Source organism: Homo sapiens, chromosome 9 (genome assembly GCF_000001405.40).
Source record: "Homo sapiens chromosome 9, GRCh38.p14 Primary Assembly".
Lineage (NCBI taxonomy): Eukaryota > Metazoa > Chordata > Mammalia > Primates > Hominidae > Homo > Homo sapiens.
In genome coordinates this window covers 35,853,431-35,867,791 of record NC_000009.12, presented here as the reverse complement: position 1 = coordinate 35,867,791, position 14,361 = coordinate 35,853,431, and the positions used below count along the sequence as shown (strand labels likewise).

General features: G+C 49.4%; 1 protein-coding gene and 1 pseudogene across 16 annotated transcripts in view, besides 1 other annotated feature; one reads left to right on the top strand and one right to left on the bottom strand.

Moving 5' to 3' along the window:
* Positions 2,277–2,776: an enhancer, noted in NCBI's record as "H3K4me1 hESC enhancer chr9:35865013-35865512 (GRCh37/hg19 assembly coordinates)". NCBI's record gives its function as "activates a minimal SCP1, AML or CMV promoter by ChIP-STARR-seq in naive H9 embryonic stem cells {active_cell/tissue: H9 hESC(naive)}" and the evidence as "EXISTENCE:reporter gene assay evidence [ECO:0000049][PMID:30033119]".
* The window catches only part of TMEM8B (transmembrane protein 8B), a 36,288-nt gene continuing 24,203 nt past the window's right edge, over positions 2,277–14,361 (bottom strand). For 8 of the 16 annotated variants that reach the window (XM_011517901.3, XM_005251483.5, XM_047423467.1 and 5 more), the window contains one exon: positions 11,552–14,283. In XM_011517901.3, the coding sequence (XP_011516203.2) occupies positions 13,918–14,283 (366 nt within the window). In that variant the 3' untranslated portion in view covers positions 11,552–13,917. Of the gene's footprint in view, positions 14,288–14,361 lie in introns of all 16 variants that reach the window. The other 8 variants (XM_011517902.3, NM_001042590.4, NM_001042589.3 and 5 more) reach the window with 2 other exon arrangements.
* On the top strand, positions 7,812–8,767 carry OR13E1P (olfactory receptor family 13 subfamily E member 1 pseudogene; annotated as a pseudogene).

The following is a 14,361-nucleotide window of genomic DNA, read 5'->3' as shown; positions in this document are numbered from 1 at the left end:
TGGGAGCACTGGGCTTGCCCTGCAAGCAGCAGTCCACCTTTCCTGCCCCCGGCTACAGGTAAGCACAGCCCCTGCATGAGGCCTGAATTCCCCTCCCAGGGCTTTCTCCCTGCTTCCTCTGCTGGCCAGAACAGAGGCACAGAGAAGCATGGCTAGAGGAGTGAGAGATACCCAAGCCTCTCTGACCACGCCTGAGAGAAGGCTGCCAGTAGCCATGCCAGTGGCCATGCCATTCTGCTGGGCCATGGATACATCACAGAGGTTTGGGTTTTATTCTGTGGGCTCTGGGGGTTTACAATCAGATTGACTTTTAGCAAGGTCACTGATTAGATACCATTCTCTCTCTTGTTTAACACAATGTCCACTGTTAGGTACCATGTGGTGAAGTAGGCAGTGTCATACACTGCTGGTGGAAATGGGGATAATTTAATATGAACTTCCTAGAAAGTAAGTTGGAAATATGAATCAAGGGCCTTCAAAACTTCCAGACCCCTTGACCCAACACCTCTACTTCTAGGAATCCAGTCTAAGTAAATAATAAAGGGCACAAAGATTTGGACATAAGGATATTAATAACAGCATTATTTGTAGTAACAAAAAAACTGTAATAATCTTAATGTTCAACCATAGAAGAATATTTAAACAAATCCCGGTGGAGTCCAATGACAGTATGTGATGCAGCCGTTAAGAATCTGTTTTTTTTTTTTTTTTTTCAAGACAGGGTCTCACTCTGTTACCCAGGCTGGAATGTAGTGGTACAATCTTGGCTCACCGCAGCCTCAACTTCCTGGGCCCAAGCAATTCTCCCACCTCAGCCGTCTGAGGAGCTGGGACTACATGCATGTGCCACCACGTCCAGCTAATTTATTTTTAATAGAGACGAGGTCTCGCTATGTTGCCCAGGCTGGTCTTGAACTCCTGGGCTCAACCGATCCTCCCAACTCGGTCTCCCAAAGTGCTGGGATTACAGGCATGAGCCACCATGCCTGGCCAGGAATCTTATTTTTTGAAGGGTATATGATAATGGGCAATACTCGTAAAGTAACTAGAAAAAAAAAAAGCAGAACACATAACATTGTATTTTAGTATGATCTCAATTTTAACTTTTTAAGTATTTTTCTTACAGATCTATGAATAAGTCAGTATCTAGGAAATACTGGAAAACGATGACCAAATATTAACTAACAGTTGTTTCCTTTGGGTGACAGGGTTACAGATAAGTACTGTTTTTTAAATTATTATTTTCAATATTATCCAATATTTCTATGATGACCATGACTTTGAACTTAAAAAATAATGGTATGTGGAAGACCACCTTGCCCGCAGTAGACGACAGATGAGAAAGGCTTCCTCCTGAGGGCAGGGAAGGGAGGAAGCTGCTGTAGTCACCCAGGCCCTCAGTGAGGCCTGAGCTGGCTGGGCAGTAAAGGAGAGGGTGGCCCCAAGAAATATTGGGGAGATAGATATAGATGCAAAATAACATTTGGGAGCTAGAGATATAATATTTGGGATTACAGTTAACCCCTGAACAACACGGGGGTGAGGGGTGCCAACTCTCCTCACTGTAAAAAAAAAAATCCATGTATAACTGTTGACTGGAAGCCTTATCAATAACATAAAGTCGATTAACACATAATTTGTATGTTATATGTTTTATATACTGTATTCTTACAATAAAGCTAAAGAAAAGAGAATGTTATTAAGAAAGTCATAAGGAAGAGACATAGATTTCCTATCTATTAAACGGATCATCATAAAAGTCTTCATCACTGTCAACATCATGTTGAGTAGGAGGAGGAGGAAGAGGAGGGACTAGTCTTGCTGTCTCAGGGGTGGCGGTTCATCTGCAAGTTTTTTCAAATTGTAGCAAATCTCAAAAAAAAATTCCCAATATATTTTTTGAAAAATACAAGTATAAGTGAACTCATGTAGTTCAAATCCATGTTATTCAAGGGTCAACTGTATATATATGTAAAATAATATTTGGAAGATATTTTGGGATTATAGAGGTGGAGGAGGGAGAGGTGAGGACCGTGGGCAGGTCCTGAGTTTCTGGTTTATTTGGGGTAGACTGAGACACTGCATGGGGAGGATGAGCACAGTAGATGGGGGAAGTGGGGAGATGGTGAGTTTGTCTTCGACCTGCTGAGTTCAGGGTATCCGTGGGGCAGCAAGAGGACAATATGCTATGAGCAGATAGAAAATCAACAGTAGCAACTTTTCCATTTTTTACTTCGACCTATGTTCTTGATAAAAAAATTCCAGAAGACAAATTATAGCATCATAGGAAACTTTGCAACTTCTGCTGCTTTATTGAAGGATGATTTTTAGTCTCTAAGCTGTGTCAAGTTGTTATTCTTTATTGTGAAAGGACAGGAAGGGGAGGGGAGGGAACAGGAATAAAGAAATCTGTAAAAACAGATGCCTGATTAAATCCCTGACCTAATAAAGTCCCTCGCCTGTACTCGGTGTCTCCCACCTTACAAAGCAATTTACTTTAAGCTTTGATGAATCCAGGTCCTTACGGCAATCCTGGAAGGAGACACCCCATTTCACAACCCAGACACCCAGGCCTAGTGAAGCCGGGCTTATGGGCCTGGAGCCTATGGCATCCAAGGCGCAGAACTGCAACGTGACCCAGTATTCAGATTCTCTGTCCACTCTCTCTCCTATGCCCACTTCACCTCAGCAGGGCCCTCCTGGGGCAGGCCGAGGAACCTGGAGTCTCTGAAGCCCAGGTCCCACAGCTGCCAAGCCTGCAACTTTGTGCAGTTGCAGAGTTTGAACTTTAAATTGGGCAGGGACCATGAGGTCCCTGAAAGCAGGGGGCAAGCAGACTGTCTATGTGGCAGGGGAGCAAGAGGCAGGTCCTGGGAGGCAGTGGCAGGGCGAGGTGCGGGGAACCTAGCCCATCCCAGCACCGTGCACTTGCTCATAATGAACTCGGCACTTCCCAAACCACAGCTCCCCTCACCTGGCTCCAGCTCCCTACAGACATTTAGGCCATGGCCAGTAGGTGAGAGGTAAGGAGATTTCATCTGACCCATTGCTTATTCTCAAGAAATCATTTAAAACATTTAAAAGCCAAAATATTTGCTGGGGGACAGGGATAGGGACAGGATGGTAATAATATCATCTACTGCTCACTGACTATTTACCAGTGCCAGGCTCTGTTCTAAGAGCTTCGCATGCTTCCTGTCACTGGATCCTTAAAACAAGCCCACAAGGAAATACTGCCGTCTCCATGGTATAGGTAAGGAAGCTGAGGCTGAGAACATTGTTAACAAGTGGAAGAGCTGGGGCTTGGACCCTAGTCCCGTCTGACTCCAGGGCCATCCTCATCTTCTCTGCCACACAGCCAGGAAGCAGGAATCCCAGATCCAGGCATTTCGGGGAAATTGTAACCGAAGCTTTCTTCTTGTTATGCCCCTATCTTTTCTTTTAAAATAATTTGTGAAGCCTAAAATAAGTATTAAGTGGTTAAAATTAGATTTACCAGACAATGAGACTGATATGTCAGTTAGCTTGCAAAGTAACCCTGGGTCTATCAGACCTCAGGTTGGAAGTTGCTAGAAACATATGAGGAAATGTTTCAGAGATTACAGCATATCGGAGATCGCTTAATTGGCTCCACTTCTCAGAAGGAGAAATCTGACCAAAGTCATACAGCAGAAAAGGAACAAAGGCCCCGATTCAAACCTGGGACGTGCCCTCCCAGTCCAGGGCTCATTCTAGGCATCACTCTGCTTCTCAAGAGGCGTAAAACCGGGGAGTGAAACCAGGCAGCTATTTTCAGAGACACTCCAGGTCCTATCCCTCTGTGACTCTGATCTTCCAGGCCATGACCGAGCGTGACACTGCGTGACACTGGTAGATGGCCACTAGAGTAGCTTTCTGAGAGTCATAAGACGCCATTGCACCCACATGCAGAGGAGCTGCTCAGCAGTAATTCTGGTTCTCCTCCTTCTGGGCAGGTGGTAGGATGCCGCAGGGCCAGTGGGCTGTGTGCAGATATGACAAATGTCTCCTGTGGCTCAGAGCAGCAAGAGCCTCCAGTGTGTCCTTCCCCAGCCATAACAACTGGTGACGTCCCACAGGGTGGAGCCTCCATCTGCCAGGGGCTCTGAGAACCCTGAGCCACCGGGAAAGCCACAGTAGACATGTAGCATGAGAAATAAAACTTCGTCATGCTAGCCACTAAAATGATGAGGTTGTACGTTACTGCAACATAACTTAGCCCATCCCAACCCAGCCACCATGGGAACCAGCTTCTATCTGATGTCCCAGCCTGTGCCCATGTTACAGGCAAAGCTGTAGGCAACCTGGTAACATGGCATTTTCTGGACACAGAGTTATTTCTTTAGGGCCACAAGCCAATGGTTTCGTGTGCTGGTTCTAGTTTCCATGAATGTGTTACGATCAGACTTTTAAGTTGTGAGGAAAACCCACCATGTTACTGATGTAGCTCTTCAGAAAGAGCAGGTGTTACTGCAAACAGGAGACTGGCACTGCCCAAAGCCCTTCTCCTAGCAATCACAATAGCTGTATCATTCTGTTGCGGTGTATGTGTTGGAGGGGGAAGGGGGAATTGATTTTGAGGCAAGACCTTGGGTTCAGCGTTCTTCGTTTGCTTTTTTAGAGAAAGGGCCTCACTCTGTTGCCCAGGCTGGAGTGCAGTGGCACAATCATAGTTCACTGTAACCTCGAACTCCTGGGCTCAAGTACTCCTCCCACCTCAGCCTTCTGAGTAGCTGTGACCACAGGTGCAAACCACCATGCCTAGGATCAGGATTTTTGGCAGAACAACACTGGATGTCAATAAATAGTTCAACTCAAATGGCAATCACTGACACCTCCTGGCTGCGGGTCACTGGAGGGTGACAGTGATGAAGGACACAGCCCTTTCACTGCAATAGCTCATAGTCTAGTCAGAGAGAGATATACAAGAAAAATGAACTATAATGAAGGCAGAATGAACTTAACCTCCACTAATAGCTGTGTGACCATCTTGTTGTCCGGGTGGTCAGTTTTATGAAGCCATCTGAGAGAAGGCTGCACGAGACAGTGGTGTGTGAACTGAGCCTTGAAGGATGAGTAGAAAAGAAAGGCACTCCAGCCTGAAGAAACTGCCCAAGAAGAGGGATGGGACTGGAGCACACAGGCTTTGTCCAAAAGACAGGGAGTGGTCTGATGAGGCTGCAGCAGGTGTGCATGAGGGATGCGGTGGAGGCAAGGCAGGAGGACGGGCCAGAGCCTGCACACACAAAAGCCCTCAAATGCCTCCGCCAGGCCCACTTGGTCTTACTGTTAGAGGTGTGAGTGATAAAGAAAAATGCAGTCAGGTGGTTTCCCACCCTTGGCCTGCTTGAAACCCCCACGCCTGTGTCCAGTGTCAGAATTTGAGATGGACATAGTTCTGTCTGCAGCAACACCCCCATCAGAAACAAAGCTCTTATAGTTCTGCTTTCCAGATTTCAGGTTTTACTTTGTCTTTACATCCCAGACTCAGAGAGAATCTCAGAGATCTAAAGCCTGGAGAGAGGAGGGGGAGGTGTCCAAAGTCACCGAGTGAGTGAATGAATGACTGCAAACTCCATGAGGGCAGGAGCCAGGTCTGTCTCTGCTGTATTCCCAGCACCTGGCCCAGGGCCTAACACATAGTAGGTGCTCAATAACTATTTGTTGAATAAGTGAATGAATGAGGCTTCACACTTGGGGAATTCTTTACTTTTTGCCAAACATCACCAAGAAAATCCCTAACTGTAGATGTTCACATGGATGATAGTTAAAGGTCAGTTACTGACCAAGATTACCCAAGTGCCCCTATATGTTCCTGAAACTGTCCTTTAAGAATCACCCTGATTCAGGGTAGAGGAAGGAAATCCTGCACAGGCTCTGGAGAAAGCTGGTGTCATGGAGGACACTGGAGCCCTTGTCCAGGAGGTGGCTAGTATAGATGGAGCAGGAACCTGTAGATAGAGGAGGCACCTGTAGCTGATGATGGATGCCATCCTCCATCCAGCCTCAGTAACAGGTCATTGCACCCCCCGGGGCAGCACCTTCAGGTGTATGTTTCCTCTGAGCTACATAGCATCCCAGTCTTCAAGGAGGAAGCTGAGTCTGAGAGAGGTCAAGTGTCTTGGTCAGTGTCACACAGCTAGTCTGAACTACAGCCAGGAGGCAAAGCTGGGTTTTGGAGTCGTGCATTCGCTATCTGCTGGGTGCCTGCTATTGGCAGCACTTGCTGCATGAGGTGCTGGTAGGAAGGAGGCAGAGTCCTGCTCTTAAGGTGTAGTAGAGAAGACAGGTGCACCACAGCGCACAATGACACAGAGGGATGGCCAAGGGCAGTGGGAGCACAAGAAGGCAGCAGGTAACAGCAAGGGGAAGGAGAGGGAGGAAAAGAGATGGAGCAGTGCTGGGCTCTGGAGAATGGGCAGAACACCCCCCACTGGGGATGGGCGGGAGGACACGCCTCCATCTCGGACAAAGGTGCGGAGCTGGGAAAAGAGATGGTTTCTTCAGGAAAGGGTGAGCCCTGCAACTCGACAAATCGTGGATACAACGAAACAGGAGGAATAAGAGAAAGAAGAAATCTAGCCCGGAAGGACAGACAGGGCTCCACTGCTGTCACAAAGCACTGTCCTCACAACCAACCCAGGAGCGAAGGGCAGGAGGGGAGAGGTGGATTATATCTTCTGAGTGATAAAAGTTCACACTCAGCTCCTATTTTTCCTTCAGACCAGGGGCCACCTGGCCATAAGACATTTTTCCAGTTCTAACAAGACTACTGTTCTCTGGACACACCTGGGCTTCCTCCTAGGAATACCTGACGCTGGCCTTTCCCGAGGAGAAGTGAGAGCAGCTCTGCATGGCGATGGAGGTCACCTGGGAGAGACCACAGCCTCGCCCACCGCTCCCTTTGCAAAGCTGGTCACAACTGACCGCACCTCCACCAGATTCGTGCCTGGCTTCCCTCCTCGTGTGACATCATTGTCAGTATCATTTCTCCTACAAAGCAATATGGAGGCCAGAAAGTAAGTTGCTTGGCTTTCATGACCACAGTTCAGTCCTGTGACCAGTAACTCTATTGAGACATGTACGTTCTTATGTGTCCTTTTAAACAAAATAATGAATGGTCCATGATTCCTTAAGGAGAGATGACCAGAAATCAAGCTTACACATCCTATGGGGCTGAAATATTTGATCTTCATGGCCCAAGGAACACTAGGTGAGCATCATCCATTACCCACCTGCCTTCCGGAGCTCATCTCACCTGACTCAGGGAGTGGGGCAGCGCCTGTGACAGGTGTGGAATCCTTTTGTCCACTTACTTTCCTTACTGCTATAGCCCCAGCACCTGATACCTAGCACAGAATAGGTACTTAATAAATACTTAGTGGATGAATAAATCTGAAATACTATGGCCATAATTTGGTCACATGAAACCGTAATGTAGAAAAGATGCTTCCTGTTAATGACCAAAAACACTTTGGATTCCAAACGATCATTTTAAACATGAATCTTTCTCTGCTGTCTCCTCTGACCCCATCCTGGGGAGAGCAGAGAGGAGCCTAGGGGACTAGAATGTGCCCCATCCTCCCCTCAGTGACGTCCACAGAACTGCAGCGCTGAGAAGGCCAGATTGCAGATCTGAAGTCCAACTCCCTCATTATACAGATGGTGAAACTAAATTCCAGAGAGGGAGGCTGACCTGCTGCAGCTCAGACATCAGGTCACTGGGCTCCCAGGCCAGTTGGAGCTTTTTCCAAAAAGCTGGGTGGTCCAGATGGAAAAGGAGAGAGAATGAGATGAAGTGGGCAAACCAGACAGCTGTGACGGAATACGTCCTGATGGGGCTACACGAGCACTGTAACCTGGAGGTGGTCCTGTTTGTGTTCTGCCTGGGCATCTACTCCGTGAATGTGTTGGGGAACGCCCTCCTCATAGGGCTGAACGTGCTGCACCCTCGCCTGCACAACCCCATGTACTTCTCAGCAACCTCTCCCTCATGGACATCTGCGGCACCTCCTCCTTTGTGCCTCTCATGCTAGACAATTTCCTGGAAACCCAGAGGACCATTTCCTTCCCTGGCTGTGCCCTGCAGATGTACCTGACCCTGGCGCTGGGATCAACGGAGTGCCTGCTGCTGGCTGTGATGGCATATGACCGTTATGTGGCTATCTGCCAGCCGCTTAGGTACCCAGAGCTCATGAGTGGGCAGACCTGCATGCAGATGGCAGCGCTGAGCTGGGGGACAGGCTTTGCCAACTCACTGCTACAGTCCATCCTTGTCTGGCACCTCCCCTTCTGTGGCCACGTCATCAACTACTTCTATGAGATCTTGGCAGTGCTAAAACTGGCCTGTGGGGACATCTCCCTCAATGCGCTGGCATTAATGGTGGCCACAGCCGTCCTGACACTGGCCCCCCTCTTGCTCATCTGCCTGTCTTACCTTTTCATCCTGTCTGCCATCCTTAGGGTACCCTCTGCTGCAGGCCGGTGCAAAGCCTTCTCCACCTGCTCAGCCCACCGCACAGTGGTGGTGGTTTTTTATGGGACAATCTCCTTCATGTACTTCAAACCCAAGGCCAAGGATCCCAACGTGGATAAGACTGTCGCATTGTTCTACGGGGTTGTGACGCCCTCGCTGAACCCCATCATTTACAGCCTGAGGAATGCAGAGGTGAAAGCTGCCGTCCTAACTCTGCTGAGAGGAGGTTTGCTCTCCAGGAAAGCATCCCACTGCTACTGCTGCCCTCTGCCCCTGTCAGCTGGCATAGGCTAGGTTGTGCTGTGGTCATGACCTCAAACCTTGAGAGGCTTAAAGCCATTAAGGTTTGTTTCTTGCTCCTGATGCAGGTCCACCAGAGGCTGGTGGGGCTTCTGCTCCGCATCATGGTCTTCACCCCTCTGGGACTCAGGATGACAAAACAGCTACCATTGGGAACACTGCTGGTCACCATGACAAAAAGAAAAGGGAAAGTAACAAAGCCTACACTGACTCTTAAAGCTTCTACTCAGAAGTGGCTGTGTTGCCTCCACCTACATTTCAGTGGCCAACACAATGGCAACAGGAAGGCACAGGACCACACCTATTGTTAAGGGGGAAAAGCACACTATCGTGTGTCTGGATGGCAAACGAGAGGGACAGAGAGATTTGTGAATGGCCTAATGACTACCACACCAGCTGACAGTGTCAACCCAAGAGCTATGGGAGGTTTGGCTTTCTTTATCCTGACCATCTATCCTTCACGGGCTGCTGCCAAGTTAATCGTCCCAAGAAAGCTCTGGTTAGCTCACGTGTGGTAGCTTTATACTGAGTCAACCAAACTAGGTTAGAGGGTGTGGGTTAGGGTTGGCCACAGAGAAGTTTGCATGTGATTTGGAAGGCAAAAGTGGGCCAGGTGTGGTGGCTCATACCTGTAATCCCAGCACTTTGGGAGACCGAGGTGGGAGGATCACCTGAGGCCAGGAGTTCGAGACCAGCCCGGGAAATGTGATGAAACCCTGCCTCTACTAAAAACACAAAAAATTAGCCAGGTGTGGTGGTGCACCTGTAATCCCAGCTACTAGGGAGGATCGCTTGAACTTGGGAGGTGGAGGCTGCAGTGAGCTGAGATGGCGCCACTGCACTCCAGCCTGGGCAACAGAGTGAGACTCCGTCTCAAAAAAAAAAAAAAGAAAGAAAGAAAAAAAATGGAACAGCACCAGACACAGTGAGGGCACCCCCATGTTGCTCATCTGCTGGCTCCCCATTAGCACAGCCTGTCCAGTCCCCACCAGGTCACCTCCTTCCACTGTGCTGAGTGCTGGGCCAAGTGCAAGCTCCATGGCAAAGGTGACAGCTTCTCCTGCAGGTCACCAGTCACTGAGATTGAAGGCATAAGAGCCAGGCACAGGTTCCAGTTTGTCCTTCTGGATTCTAGTGTGCCCTTACTGCCCCTCACTTCACACTCAGCCTTCTTTCCTAACTGCTGGCCCAGCTGAGCTGTAACAGCTTCAGGCCCAACACCAAATGCAGAAGTAACAGTTTTGCACAGATTTCTCCAACTGCTCCCATGACTGTAAAGGTCTAATCTTTTTATCACTCATAGTGGTTCTGTTACTTTGGTCAAACCTGGATTGATTCATCACTCTTCTGATCAAGGACTTTTGACAGCTCCCATTACCATTAAGTCCAAATTCTTCAGTTGAATCCTCAAGGCCCTCCAGAATCTGCCCCCACCTGCTTCTTCAGCCTGATTTTCCACTATGCCCTTCACATGGCTGTCCCCTCGCTACATTATCTGTACTGCCGCACCCCCATGTCTTCGCACCCTTGTATGTATTGTGCTGTTCTCTGATAATAGCTGGGACTAGTTTTCAAAGCTAGGTTAGACACCATCTCTCTCATGCATCCTTTCCCATTGCACTTTGAGATCGCTCTCTTTACATCCTACAGCACTTTGTCAGGATCTTCCACTTCACACTTGTCCCATCTAACTTGCATTCATGACACTTCACCACCGTGTGAGCTCCTTCAGGGCAGGATTCAGTCGGGTCTGGCTCATCTCTGTAGCTCCCACAGCATGTTCCCTATGGAAGGTTTGCGGGACTGAATTGTCACTCAGAAGCTTTCAGAACATCACCCTGTGGGGATTGAGCCCTGTGCTGCTGAACATGCCCCAGGCAGCTGCAAGTGCTCAGGGGTCTCAGTCCAGTCGTATGTACAGATACATGCAAGGGTACAGCAATATCTGCCAGCCACAGCCCTGTATTCAAGGCAAGGAAGGGCTGTTTGAATCTTGGGATCTCCCCCACTGAGACAAGTCAGGAGACAACCAAGGATTCCCATTTTGGGAGCCTGGAGACAGGCCTGGTTCAGCGGCTACGTCCAGCACTGTCATATTGCTGGCCCCCTTCCCTCCGGGAATCCCACATGCACCTCAAACTGTCCAAAGTGGAGCTCATCTTCCCCCCACCCAAAGTGGTGTCACCATCTCAGGGAATGGCACCACCATCCCCAAATCAGAATATCACCATCATCCTAGGCTCTCTCATACCTCACCACCCCACACACCCAATCAGTCACCAAGTCCTAAAGAGTTCACTCCTAACAGCTCTTAAATTGGTCCCCTCCTTTCCACCGATATTGCTTTAAGAAGGCTTCACCATTTCTCTTTCAAATGTTCCAATAGCTGTGGTCACTGCACTTTGTCCTCCAAGGTCTCCCAAAGTCCATCCTCTGCCCCAGCCATCAAAACCCCAATCTGATGTTCCTCTCCTGCTTAATCTCTCCAATGGCTCCTCATTTCCCATAGAATAAAGACCCAACCTCCACTTATCTATCTAATCATATCATTGGCTGCTTACCTCCACCACCCCACTCCACACACAAAAGCATGCGCACATGCACTGGCCCAGGCACACTGAACTATTCAGTGCCCGGAGTAAATATCAGTCTTTCCTGCCTCTGCATTCCCCCTTGCTGTTCCCTCTCCATGTCCAAACACGTGGTGACCTTAAGCTAACATATATTGGACCACATCACATACCAGACTAGGCACTATACAAGTGTTCTAAGAGCTTTACTGACTGAAGACCACAGGGAGTGATGAAAATCTCAGGGAAGGGATGCCATGTGGACACTGGTGACCACAAAGAACACTCTCCCATTATCTTAGCATCATGGCAACTCAGCTAATCCTAGTTCAAATGTCCCTCTTCCCAGACGCCCCTCATGACCCCTCCTCACTGGGAGGGATGCACCCCAGCTCCGTCTCCCACTTCAGAGCCTTCTGTACTCTGCTGACTCTGTCCAGAATCCCAGCTATTTGGGTTCAAGCATCCCAGTGACCTGGCTCTATACGTCTTAATGTGGTATTTCTGATGTAGGAACAGTATTTTCTAAAATGGGAACAGACACCTAGCTCACACCTCCTCACTGCTTCTCACTACTCACTTGGCCACACCATTCTCTGCTCAGTGCCCCATGGAAGAGACGTGATTGCAGAAAGCAGATAACAAAGGCATGTTTTCCTGGCTTTTGGGTTTCAAAAGCCTAGGTCCTGAAGGGAACAGAAAAGGCTTAAGGCATAGATAAAAGATTCAGGAGAGGCCAGGCGCGGTGGCTCACAACTGTAATCCCAGCACTTTGGGAGGCCGAGGCGGGTGGATCACCTGAGGCCGGGAGTTTGAGAGCAGCCTGACCAACATGGAGAAACCCCATCTCTACTAAAAATACAAAAATTAGCTGGGCTTGGTGGTGCACACCTCTAATCCCAGCTACTCGGGAGGCTGAGACAGGAGAATCACTTGAACCCGGGAGGCAGAGGTTGCAGTGAGCTGAGATCGCACCATTGCATTCCAGCCTGGGCAACAAGAGCAAAACTCCGTCTCAAAAAAAAAAAGATTCAGGAGAAAACATTAAGTAAGGCTTCCTCACCTCCAATATTAACGAAAGGGGGAAAGAAGAGAGAGGAGGAGAGGATGTAGTGAGAATACTGACACAGAGGGTCCCAAAAGGAAGAGTCCCTGAGCTCCACACCCCAGGCCAAGATAGATTTGCAGTTTTAACAGATGCAGCAACTCATGCCTTGTCTGTCAAAACCCAGAGCAGAAACAGCTTCAAGGTGTGTCTGCATAGCCAAGGCCTTAGACAACTTTACGGGTCTCCACATATGGCCCAGAAGTGGCAGAGAGAACCTTAGGACTGAGAGAGTAATGCAAATGGGAACAAGAAATCTCTCTGCATCCCAGATGAACTGTCTGGACCTCTGACTGGGGACCAGATGGAATGATGGAAATCCCGGGGATGGATGAAGTATGGACACTGGTGATCAGTGAGAATGCTCTCCCAACTTCTTGGCATTATGTAAGACCCTCAGAACTCAGCTATGACCCTCATGGAAAGAGAAGGAATCCCAAATGGACAAATGATCTTTTCTGGCACTCAGGAAAAATGGGGGCTCAAAACAGAAGTTACATTCTTGTGATATTTCTTGCACACCTGAGACGTGTACCTGCTATTCCAATTTCCTGGGACCTCGGCTTCCTTCTGTGTTGGGTGTGGGCATCATAAGGAAAGTCTGTCTCACTGATTTAAATCATCTCAGCATACGTATACATACATAAACACACACACACACACACACACCCCTCAGATACTGCAAATCGGGCTCAATAGGAATTGGGGAATAGGCATTAGAAACTGTTTAGAAATGAATGCAGGGCCCAGATGAGCGGGATCAGACTGTGTACAGGGTGTGACAAAAGCCTCCGGCAGTAGCTCCCATCAGCCCTGCTGATTCCCTGAGGGGCCCTCTTTCCCCACTTCCCCACACCCCTGACCCCAGGGGGAAAAAAGGCATCACAGAACCATTCTGAACCAATCAATCACTGGAGACACACAGACTCCACCTGTATCAAACGAGGATACCAGCCACCCAGACAGCCCCAGTCCCAGCTCCATCCATCCTGCAATCCCTCCTCCACAGCACAGCACAGCCCAGACGCTGCCTCTGGGAAGGAAGCCTGAGGCCAGAGTTGCTGAGCCTCTGGGAAAATCTGGAAATTTGGTTTCCCCAAGATAGACTCCACCTCCTCTGGAAAGATGCTGTGCTCCTGACAGGGCTTTGTCTCCCTGGGAAGGAATCCATGTCTTGGGAAGGCTCTGCATCCCAGGAAAGGCTCCACACCTGCAGGAGGGACTCCTTGGTCCTGAGGGACTCTGTGCCTGCATAGGCTCCAGTCCTTAAGAAGGACTCCATGATGCAGGGGGACTCCAGGCCCTCAGGAAGTTCTCCATGTCCTGGGAAGGGCTCCAGGTCCCTGGAAGAGTTTTGTGTCCTTGAGAAAGACTCCATGTCCTCAAGAAATACAGCCTGTCTCCTTCTAAGAGGGCTCCACACCCCCAGAAAGAACTCTAGGAAGCATTCATATCCCCTCAGGGCCAGGCCCAAAGCCCCTCTCAGCTGGCACAGATGCTGCTGACAGTGGCCCCTCCTGGGCCCACGAGGCCCAGCTCCTCCTGCTCGTTGATGCATAGCTGGTAACCACAGCCCCGGGCCCGGGCTCCAGATGGGACCCCGTGGTCAGTCTTGGCACGAGGGGGCAGCAGGAAGCCCACACTGCCCGCAATGAGCATATGCCAAATGCTGTGAATGTAGAAGTAGTTGTCCCGGGTCTCCACAAAAGCATAAAGCAGGACGGCACTGCCTGCAATAAGGCTGCCAGGGCACAAGTAGAAAAGCCAGCGGCGCCACGTGGGTGGGTAGCAGTGCCGGCGGCGGACGCTGCGTACTGTCTGGGGGAGACAGAGAAGTGGGGCTCAGGAATGCCAAGCCCTGGAACCCAAGCCAGAGCTGGTCACTCTCAGGT